This window comes from Homo sapiens, chromosome 6 (assembly GCF_000001405.40).
Source record: "Homo sapiens chromosome 6, GRCh38.p14 Primary Assembly".
In the NCBI taxonomy this organism is placed as follows: domain Eukaryota; kingdom Metazoa; phylum Chordata; class Mammalia; order Primates; family Hominidae; genus Homo; species Homo sapiens.
Window position 1 is genome coordinate 85,354,264 of NC_000006.12, and position 11,658 is coordinate 85,365,921.

Below are 11,658 nucleotides of genomic sequence, written 5' to 3' on the forward strand. Positions count from 1 at the left end.
GCAAGTCAGAGAAGTGTAGAAGACGCTGATGTCTGAGCCTTTCCAGTCCAAGCCAGGCAAGGGCAGGGATGTTTTCATTTGAATGAGCGATTAAAGCTTTTGTTTAGATCACTCTGGACATTTTAAAGGCTTTTAAAGGAGGCTATAAATTAATACCTAAAAGTGACATCAAAATCTATGGGATCTGCTCAAAAAATCAATAAAGGATTGGGAAGTGAGATTTCCACATGGCATATGTGAAAGAAGTGGCATGAGAACATAAAATTATTTTTAATGACATCTGCCACACGGAGGCCAAATATTACATGAATATTTTGCCATATTGGCTTAGATCCTCCTTTTTAAAAAATATAAGGCATTACAGATACAGTAACAGTCCCTCCTTCCCATTACCACTTACCTCCCTCCCTTCCCAGGTGCAACCTCTATTCTAAAGTTGGCGTGTACAGTTCCTGCCTGTGTTTTTATATTCTTCCAATGTAATTATGTATTTGAAAACAGTATATAGTACGTGCTGGAAATTTTTAGCATGATATCTATAGTCCTTTCTAACTATAATTCTATGATATAGTGTGACTTTTTTTATTTTAGTAAAATAATAAAAGTGAAGGGACTTTTCCAATTCCCTCTCTCTACACTTTTGCCTCACTGATCATGAAATACTACAGCTCATGGAGTGATATACAGAGGTCTGTCTATCCTTAAAAAAAAAAAAAAAAATTATTAAGAGATGGGGTCTCACTCTGTCACCCAGGTTGGACTGCGGTGGCACAATCATAGCTCACTGCTGCCTCAAACTTCTGGGCTCATGAGATAACTGCTGCCTTAGCCTCCTGAGTAGCTGGGATTACAGGCATAAGCCACCCCGCCCAGCTGTGCTGTGCTAAATTAAAGGAAGCAAAGCAAGAGGGTTGCAGTGGGAAAGAGCGCCCGGTGCAGATGCAGCAGGTGTCCAGCAGAGGGCGATATCATCTAATAAAAGTGCACACGCCTGGGTGGTTGCTTCGAATAATTGAGCCACTGTATACTTTTAAGATAACATTTTAAGTTCTAGAAGATAATATTCTTAGAAAACACAAGCCTGATCATATGAATTATTTGCCCAAGGTGACAAAGCTAGTTAATATTTACTACTTCTGCCTTCCAATCCAGTGCTCTGGTAGGTCTGTCGGCTGCCCTGCAAACATTCAACAGATATAAGAAATCAAATTGGTCTAAATCAAATCACCGATAATATTTGTACTTTTTATTAAATGTGTTATGATTTTTTGGTGCCAGTTTTAAGCCTGCAACATACTCAACAGGGCACTTTAGTCACCATCAAGATGATTTCAGAGTTTGAGGAAACAACAAGAAACAAAGAATTTGCAAGTGGATAAAATTATTTAAAAATTATAAAATCATACTGAAGCAGGAATATTTTTAACCCAAAAAACAAACTTTAAGTTCTAATTCTTTACATTTATTCTAAGCATATGTTGATAATGTTTTATATGACATTTTTAGAATGATATCAAGTGTACATTCTATTGACTACCCAGTTGGGATAGAAATATTAGTCAGATTAGGACAGTTTATGCTGAAATTACAAAGAAAGCTCACCATCTCATAGCCAAAACGATAAAGCAGGAGTCAGAAAACAAGGCCAGAACCTGCTTTTTTGCAAAGTTTTACTGAAACACAGATACACCCATTTGTTTGCATATTATCTGAGGCTGCCTTTGAGTATCAATAGCAGTTGAATAGTTGCCACGCATATCTTCAATGTCAATGGCCTCTTGACCTGCAAAGCCTAAAATGTACACTACTTGTCTGTCTTAGTCCATTTGTGCTGCTGTAATAGAATACCACAGATTGGATAATTTATAAACAGAAATGTATTGACCCACAGTTCTGGAGGAACTGGATCTTGATATTGGGAACTCCAATATCAAGGCATGACAGGTTTGGCCATTCTGACTCTATGATGACACATGGAACACTGCATCCTCTGGAGGGAGAATGCTTGGCTTCACATGACAGAAAGGCAAAGACACCAAAAGGGGGCCAAACTTGCGTTTTTATCACAGCATTAATCTCACCCATGCGGGTGGCACCTTCATGGCCTAATTGCCTCTTAAAGATCCCACTTCACAATACAGTTGCAATGGCAGTTAAATTTCAACATGAGTTTGGAGAGGGACAAACATGCAAACCATAGTACTGATCTTTTATAGAAAAAGTTTGCCGGACATGAACAGACACTTCTCAAAAGAAGACATTTATGCAGCCAAAAAACACATGAAAAAAGGCTCACCATCACTGGCCATCAGAGAAATGCAAATCAAAACCACAATGAGATACCATCTCACACCAGTTAGAATGGCAATCATTAAAAAGTCAGGAAACAACAGGTGCTGGAGAGGATGTGGAGAAATAGAAACACTTTTACACTGTTGGTGGGACTGTAAACTAGTTCAACCATTGTGGAAGTTAGTGTGGCGATTCCTCAGGGATCTAGAACTAGAAATACCATTTGATCCAGCCATCCTATTACTGGGTATATATGCAAAGGACTCTAAATCATGCTGCTATAAAGACACATGCACACGTATATTTACTGCAGCACTATTCACAATAGCAAAGACTTGGAACCAAGCCAAATGTCCAACAATGATAGACTGGATTAAGAAAATGTGGCACATATGCACCATGGAATACTATGCAGCCATAAAAAATGATGAGTTCATGTCCTTTGTAGGGACATGGATGAAATTGGAAATCATCATTCTCAGTAAACTATCGCAAGGACAAAAAACCAAGCACCACATGTTCTCACTCACAGGTGGGAATTGAGCAATGAGAACATATGGACACAAGAAGGGGAACATCACACTCTGGGGACTGTTGTGGGGTGGGGGGAGGGGGGAGGGATAGCATTAGGAGATATACCTAATGCTAAATGATGAGTTAATGGGTGCAGCACACCAGCATGGCACATGTATACATATGTAACTAACCTGCACATTGTGCACATGTACCCTAAAACTTAAAGTATAATAATAATAAAATAAAATTAAAAAAAAGAAAAAGTTTGCCAATCCCTTCTATAATGCAATGCTGTCCGATAAAACTTTCTATGGTGACAAAAATGTTCTATATCTATACAGTCCAATACGGTAGTCACTAGCCACATATGGCTATTGAGCACTTGAAATATGACTAGCAGTTACCAAAGTGGGAATGGATAGTGAGTAAACAACTAACCATGTTTGCCAATTATTGTATGTCTTAAGCTCCAAGATTATCCTCTGATATTGGTTTACTAGGATTTCATAAATAGGTATGTGTTCTTTGTATTCATTCCTTAATATTGAATAGCAACTAAGGAACAGAATTTTTAATTTCAATTAATTTACATTTAAATCAATTAAAAAACAGGAGCTTTGAGGAACTAATAGCCTAATGGCATTCATTAATCTCTTGGCATCCCACACTGTTTTTTTACAAAAACAGGCTGCAGGGCAGATTTGCCTAAGGGCAGTATTTCATTGACCCTTGCTTTATAGTGTTGATACTGAGATGTCGGGCTTTCTTTGTGACTTCAACATAAACTACCCTATCCTGACTCATACATTTCTACAGCTCCCCACTTCCTTCAGAAAGACCATAACTCAAAAATTCTTTTAAGGAAAAATCAGAGAAAGCACTACCCACCATGTAAAGTTGTCCTTCATTTCTTTGTCTTCCATTTATCTCTTCTAACCAGTATTCATGTATCACTTAGGAATACTTTGACTGCAAGTAACAGAACAATGGCCTAAACAATCAGGGATTGTTTTTTTCATATAACAAGAAGTTTGGAAGTAGACAACTTCTGGCATCAGTTCAGCAGTTCAACAATGTCAGAGCTGGTATCTCTACAATTCTCCTGAACTTTCTGTCGTGGTTATAAAATGGCTGCTGCCACATTTAAGGCAGAAAAAAGTGGAACTAGGTATTTTACTAAACACATCTGTCTCTTTTATAAGGAAAGAAAAAGATTTCCTAGAAGACACTCCGGATATAAAGCCTTACCTTATTGGTATCTGGGAACAACCAGCACTGAGTCGTATAACCACCAGAGACGTAAAATAGTCTGGGAAAGCAGGAAACCACTTTCCAATAGTGGTTGTCACCTAGGGCTGGGCACACTGCCCCCATAAAGGTGGGAATAAATATTGAGTAAACAACTAATCATGTTAGCCAATTATAGCGTCTTAAGCAAAAAGACTATCCTTTGATGTTAGTTTTCTAGGGTCTCATGAATAGGTATGTGTTCTTTGCATCCATTCCTTAATTCAATGATTATTTTCTGATACCTATTGGAGGTCAGGCATTGGACAAGGTGTCAGGAAGGGGCAGATGATGAGGCTGGAAATGATATCTAGAATATGCAGGGTCTATGTAAAAGTATAAATGGAAGGTTTTATGAAGTATCATAAAGACTTATGCCCAATATGCCACAAATTTACATTTTTACTTGAGAGTTTCAGTACATTACACCTGCAAGCTCTTCATGAGTGACTTAGCTTACTATGACATTTATTGCAGATTCAAAAATGTAGTTCTTCTGGGGCCAGGTGCGGTGGCTCATGCCTGTAATCCCAGCACTTTGGGAGGCTGAGGTGGATGGATCACGAGGTCAAGACATCAAGACCATCCTGACCAATCTAGTGAAACCCCGTTTCTACTAAAAACAAAACAAACAAACAAAAAAAAAACAAAAATTAGCCAGGCATGGTGGTACGTGCCTGTAGTCCCAGCTACTCGGGAGGCTGAGGGAGGAGAATCACTTGAACCCGGGAGGCGGAGGTTGCAGTGAGGCAAGATGGCACCACTGCATGCCAGCCTGGCCAGCCTGGGCAACAAGAGCAAAACTCCACCTCAAAAAAAAAAAAAAAAAAAAAAAATATATATATATATATATATATATATATAGTTCTTCTGGGTGATATTTTTAAATCTTCTAATAGGTACAAATCTCAGTGACTCAGCTGTGTAAGTAATATACTAGAGCTTTTGCTACTTTTCTATGTAAATCTTCCATTCTGCTGAAGTAGCAGAAACTTCATGTCAGTGATTTGTAGTTCTCTAGATCTGTGCCTAAATCCAAGAGGTGGGCAGACACCTGAAAGAGGGAAATAGTCTGTCCATTGATGGCATTTGTACACACCAGCATCCATTAGGATTGTATTCTGTCAGCCTGTCTGCTTGTTGAAGAAAATCAACCTCGTGGTCCCTTTGGGACAATGCATGGCTTGGTGGCCTCTCTACCTGGTGAAATCTTTCTGCAGCTCCCCCACGTTATGGAGTTTAACTGACTGTGGGGCTGCTAAGTCCCCTTCGGGCCGAACAGTCTCTGTGGTGATTTACTCTGAAGTTCTGCCACCTTCATAGCCTCTAGCAGGAAAACTGGGTACAGCTCCCTCCTTCATGTTCTTGAATTCTACAGTTCAAACTGAGGGCTTTGCTGCCATCTGGGACTCAGGGAGGAGGATGGGCATGAGACCTCTCTCTATGAGCCCACTTATGTCTCTGCTCTCTAAGTTTCTCCTTTTCTTCTCCCCTGGAAACACTCAGCAGGTTATCTGTTGCTGTCAGCTTTTCTACATATATTTATTGTAACATAGTTCATCTTCAAGTGTTTTCCATCCCAAATCATTCAAATTCCCATCAGAGTCATCACCAAAAGAGACAGAAGAAACTATGGGAGTATGTGAGAATGTATGCAAAATGCAGGAAGCAGAAAATAAAGCAACCTTGTCAAACTGTCCCTCTCCTCCTGCAGGGAACTGCCTCATCACCAAAGCAAATCAGAGGACTGTCCCTCCTTTCCACAGTAGCACCACCTGCACTTCTGAGATCTTGCTTCCCCTTGAAATTATCCTTCACTGTCATACGAAAGTAAGCATATAAATATACACAATGAGTTGTGGGTGAAGCACACTCTAAGCTAAGGGACAAATGAATTTATAAATTATGCCTTAATGAAGGAAAAGGGGCTGGCAGGCTGAGGAGCTGGAGAGAAGTTGGCCAGACAGGTGAAACTCTTAGGCATAGGATACTCTTAGACACAAGTACACATTGGCACTTTGTGTGTTTAAGGAATTATAAGGCCGGGTGTGGTGGTTCATGCCTGTAATCCTAGCACTTTGGGAGGCCAAGGTGGGAGAACTGCTTAAGTCCGGAAGTTTGAGATCAGCCTGGGCACATAGCAAAACCCTGTCTCTACAAAAAAAATTTTAAAATTAGTAGGGTGTGGTGGTTCGTGTCTATAGTCTCAGCTACTCAGGAGGCTGAGATGGGAGGATTGCTTGAGTCCAGAAGGTCAAGGCTGCAGTGAGCTATGACCATGCCACTGCACTCCAGCCTGTCTCAAAAAAAGAGAAACACTGTCCCCCAACAAAATTATTATAAGTCATTTCACAGACAGTTAATTCTTGTTATATTCAGTAGTTTTATTCTGTAAAGTCTCAAAAACACTGAATGAGTAAATACTGAACCATTGCTTCTAGGGGAAATACAAGTTTAGATTCCTGAGAGTGACTGGTCACAACATTTTCATTAACTGGTCAATCCATGCCCTTCTTTTATTTATATTTCTGTCTAAACACACCTTATTTAATATATATAGTTGATCCATGAACTTTGAACTCACAGCCAACAGCACTATAGCTCATGCCTGAATGAAGCTTATCTAACATGTATATATTTCCATAAGGCACATCACAGCCTTCCTGCACTTAGAAACTCTAGACAGAACTTTGGCACTGTATTTGCAGGCCATTTTAAACAGCCAAGTCACCAACAAAAAGCACAAAATATGGAAAACATGGTACTAAGTAGACCTCAAAAAAGACATTTTTATAGCATAAGAGCTGAAAATAAGAAGGCAGAGTGTCAGCTTGTTTGACCTCAGTGGAAACATGAACATCAGATGACTCAGATGTTTCACATATGCAGGCACGTGTTCATGAATGACAGCCAAAGCACCATGAATAATGATTTGAGGGTTAAATAAATAAATTTTAGTGAGTAGGCAGATTTGCAAATTTCAAATCCATGAATAGTAAGGATCAACTATAGCTGGAGCAAAGAGTAGGTGCCAGTGTGCACAACTGCTTTAGGGTATAAAGCCAGACAGGCCAGAAAACAAGCTATCAAGGGCCTGTGTGTCAAGCTCTTGAGCACACCCTCCCTCAGGGTGGTTGTTTGGAAGGAGCAGCTTGAAGGCAAGGACAGTGAAGTGAGTCACTAACTTCAATGATTCAATTCCCTGGTATGAGGAACATGGATGCTGCTGGTGACCAATAGGGAGACATTATTTTGAGTTTACCTAATTAATACCATTCAAACATACTCTGACTTCATCAAGATGCTAGGGGAGAAAACTAAAAGAAGGGTCACTATCCCTTTATATGTGGCCATTACATAACTAGCACATTCTGCATTTATGAAGAAAATACTGTGTCCAGCAGCGCAAGCAGAAGTCGCAACTGCCCATGTGGGCCACAGTAGTGAACAGCTTTAACAGTGAAGGCAGTAGTAAAGCTGGCAGCTGCCCAGGGTTGACCACTCAGGAAGCCTGCCAGAGGACCAGAGATGGTGTGTGGCCCCACAGATTCTTTGGGTAGGACTTAAGGGGTTTCTGATATCCCTGTGATTGTTACCCTGTCCTGATTGTCCTCCCCAGACTCAAACCTGGGAAAGGAAAGGATACCCTGTAAATCATCACAAATCAGTTAGCAACTTCTACAGGACTTTTTAGGGGTTGCCATTTAGCACTTCACATCTCAGTAAATACATTTTAAAGCTTTTTAATTCCTGGAAAAAGTTATTTTTTTCCTGGAAAAAAACTGTTTTCTACAAGGTTCATTATGCTTTAATTTTAAGCTTAAAAAAATGCCAGCCAAAGCTGTATCATTTTTGGAAACTGTTTTCCATTTTCAAATCTTAGGTATGTAATCTTAACAACTCTAGATTTCAAATTATTCATCTGTAACCTAAAAAGGTTTTTGTAGGTGCTATCTTAAGTCTCTTTGTTTCTGGAATTCTAGAATTTCTACTCTTTGAAGCTCAGAACTTTTGACAAAGTCCACATCACATTTGAAACAACCATTCAAATCCTGAGTCTATAATTTTCATTGACAGATGAGAATGGATTCTCATATGAAGCCTCATAGAATTTAGATTGATCTTTGTAATGGCTGGAGGCTATTGAAAAATGTATTGCTGGACTTTGGAAGAGGTAGATATAGAATATTGCCAAACTGGCTGAGAGAAATTTGTATTAATAGGTAGGAAGTGATGACAGCCTAGGGAAAAATGGAAAAGAGGGATGGAAAGCCCTTCCCAAAGCATCCACTCAAATGAAATAGACTCTGACTGCAGAAAATTCAGAACTCCTGACTGATTTGATTCAGCATCTTAACATCGGAGCCCACCACATCTCACTGTAGGACACATTCGCTGAGGATGGAGCAGAGAGAGTGGCCAAGCCTGGACTCTGTCTTTGGCTAAACTGGAAGACAGACAAGAAGGACTGGTTTAAGTGCTACTCATTTGGCTGAGAACATAGTAACTAGAGATGGTAGGAAAGAGGCCAATCAAAATAATCTTTGCTTAGATTCATGAATGAATAACCTAATCTGTTTTTTATCAACATAAAGCAAAAGCTAGACATGGTAGTTAAAGAACTGTGTACAAGAGTTCAAAACATAGTTGGGAGGTTCTTGAGCTACCTGCTGTCTTGAAAGAAAATGACCAAGAAATTGGCCTTTTGGACAGATCACACAGCAGCATCACTGACACAGCCACACCCCAGTGAAGGGGCTGGAGGTGGCCTCTCCTCTGTAGAGTGGAGCAAAGATGGGTATATCAGGCCCCTGTCCTACTGCTGGAACACACTTGGCAGATAAAGTTATGCAAGTAAAAGTAGCAATTACAAACATTATGGGAAAAAAAATAAAACCTAATGCCTGAAAGTCTATGGAACACAGAATAGAAACCATAGCCTGCTTCAGATAATATGTGTCTTATATTATCGAGGCTGAATTTTCAAAAGGATTTTAATGTGTGTTTTATAAGTGAGAACCTAGATTCAGCCTTACAAAAATTCCAGTTAGACAACTACATCCCTGAGACCATCTCATTTTGAAGGGGCAAGGAAGGGTTTGAATTAATGAAATAAATCATATAGTAATGCAATTTTATTATTTTTTGACATAGACTTAACAAAAAAATTAATTTCATAGGCAGTTTTCAGTAAAGGTTTATAATAAGTCCTTGAATTTTTTTACTTTTTAATTGACACATAATTTTACATATTTGTGGGGTACATGTGATATTTAAATACATGTATATGATATGTAATGATCAAATCAGGATCATTGGCATATCTGTCACGTCAGATGTTTTTTGTGTCAGGAACATTCAAAATCCTCTCTTCTTGCAAATTTGAAATATATAATAAATTATTGTAATTATATTCACCCTATTATACTATCAAATACTAGAACTTATTTCTTTTGTCTAACTATAGTTTTATACACATTAACCAACTCTTCCCTGTAAAAATCCCTGAAATATAAAAATTACTGGAATAAGCACATATGTATACTTTTTTGTTATGAAGATATTTCATAGATATCAACAGATTCTTTCAAAGGAGCTCAGAATGCAAAAGGGTAACAACCCTTCATGATGGTGGCAGTGAACCATCATCTCCAAGAAATATTAATAATAAAATATTAATAAAATATTTTAATTAATAATAAAATATTAATAAAATACTTTAATTAGTAATAAAATATTTTAATTAATAATACAATATTAACAAGGGGACTCAATGTTTTCAAGAATTGAGATAACCAGAGAGAGACGATACTGTGAATGTGAGAAAACAGTGTTTGGTGGCTCATTTGTAGCATTTTATCAACTAGTTATCCAGTGTCGAACTGCCCAGAGAGTGGGATCTCAGCTAATCCAGAGAGGTCTACCTATAGCAGAGATTTCGGTAAGGACCACATTAGGGACCCAGTTCATGATGATAAGATCTGTACAAATTAAGGTGCTGATAAGTAGAATCTCGAGATCCCCATTGTAGAAAAGAATGAAAGCCCTGACAGTGATTTAAACCAGGTGAATTTTCAAAAGGATTCTAATGTGCACTTTGTAAGTGAGAATCTGGATTCAGCCTTACAAAAAATCCAGTTAGACAACCACACCCCTCAGGCCATCTCACTTTGAAGGGGAAGGAAGGAGTTGAATTACAGAAATGAATCATATAGTGATGCATCATTGCTCCGCTCTACAGAAGAGAGGCCACCTCAAGCCCCCATACTGGTGTGTGGCTGTGTCTGTGATGCTGCCATGTGATCTGTCCAATAGGCCAATTTCTTGGTCATTTTCTTTCAAGATATCAGGTACCTCAAGAAGATTGGCTTTTTTCTGCAGCCACATGGATGTAAATGAAAACATCTTTTCTCTTTTTTTATTTTATTTTATTTTATTTTATTATTATTATATTTTAAGTTTTAGGATACATGTGCACAATGTGCAGGTTGGTTACATATGTATACATGTGCCATGCTGGTGTGCTGCACCCATTAACTCGTCATTTAACATTAGGTATATCTCCTAATGCTATCCCTCCCCCCGCCCCACTCCCCAAAACAGTCCCCAGAGTGTGATGTTCCCCTTCTTGTGTCCATGTGTTCTCATTGTTCAATTCCCACCTATGAGTGAGAACATGCAGTGTTTGGTTTTTTGTCCTTGCGATAGTTTACTGAGAATGATGATTTCCAATTTCATCCATGTCCCTACAAAGGACATGAACTCATCATTTTTTATGGCTGCATAGTATTCCATGGTGTATATGTGCCACATTTTCTTAATCCAGTCTATCATTGTTAGACATTTGGGTTGGTTCCAAGTCTTTGCTATTGTGAATAGTGCCACAATAAACATATATATGCATGTGTCTTTATAGCAGCATGATTTACAGTCCTTTGGGTATATACCCAGTAATGGGATGGCTGGGTCAAATGGTATTTCTAGTTCTAGATCCCTGAGGAATCGCCACACTGACTTCCACAATGGTTGGACTAGTTTACAGTCCCACCAACAGTGTAAAAGTGTTTCTATTTCTCCACATCCTCTCCAGCACCTGTTGTTTCCTGACTTTTTAATGATTGCCATTCTAACTGGTATGAGATGGTATCTCATTGTGGTTTTGATTTGCATTTCTCTGATGGCCAGTGATGGTGAGCATTTTTTCATGTGTTTTTTGGCTGCATAAATGTCTTCTTTTGAGAAGTGTCTGCTCATGTCCTTCACCCACTTTTTGATGGGGTTGTTTTTTTCTTGTAAATTTGTTTGAGTTCATTGTAGATTCTGGATATTAGCCCTTTGTCAGATGAGTAGGTTGCAAATATTTTTTCCCATTTTGTAGGTTGCCTGTTCACTCTGATGGTAGTTTCTTTTGCTGTGCAGAAGCTCTTTAGTTTAATTAGATCCCATTTGTCAATTTTGGCTTTTGTTGCCATTGCTTTTGGTGTTTTAGTCATGAAGTCCTTGCCCATGCCTATGTCCTGAATGGTAATGCCTAGGTTTTCTTCTAGGGTTTTTATGGTTTTA

At 38.7% G+C, this 11,658-nt stretch overlaps 2 annotated features.

Moving 5' to 3' along the window:
* Positions 836 to 885: a silencer, noted in NCBI's record as "silent region_17364". NCBI's record gives its function as "represses an Ori minimal core promoter by ATAC-STARR-seq in GM12878 lymphoblastoid cells {active_cell/tissue: GM12878}" and the evidence as "EXISTENCE:reporter gene assay evidence [ECO:0000049][PMID:35858748]".
* Positions 10,269 to 10,348: a silencer, noted in NCBI's record as "silent region_17365". NCBI's record gives its function as "represses an Ori minimal core promoter by ATAC-STARR-seq in GM12878 lymphoblastoid cells {active_cell/tissue: GM12878}" and the evidence as "EXISTENCE:reporter gene assay evidence [ECO:0000049][PMID:35858748]".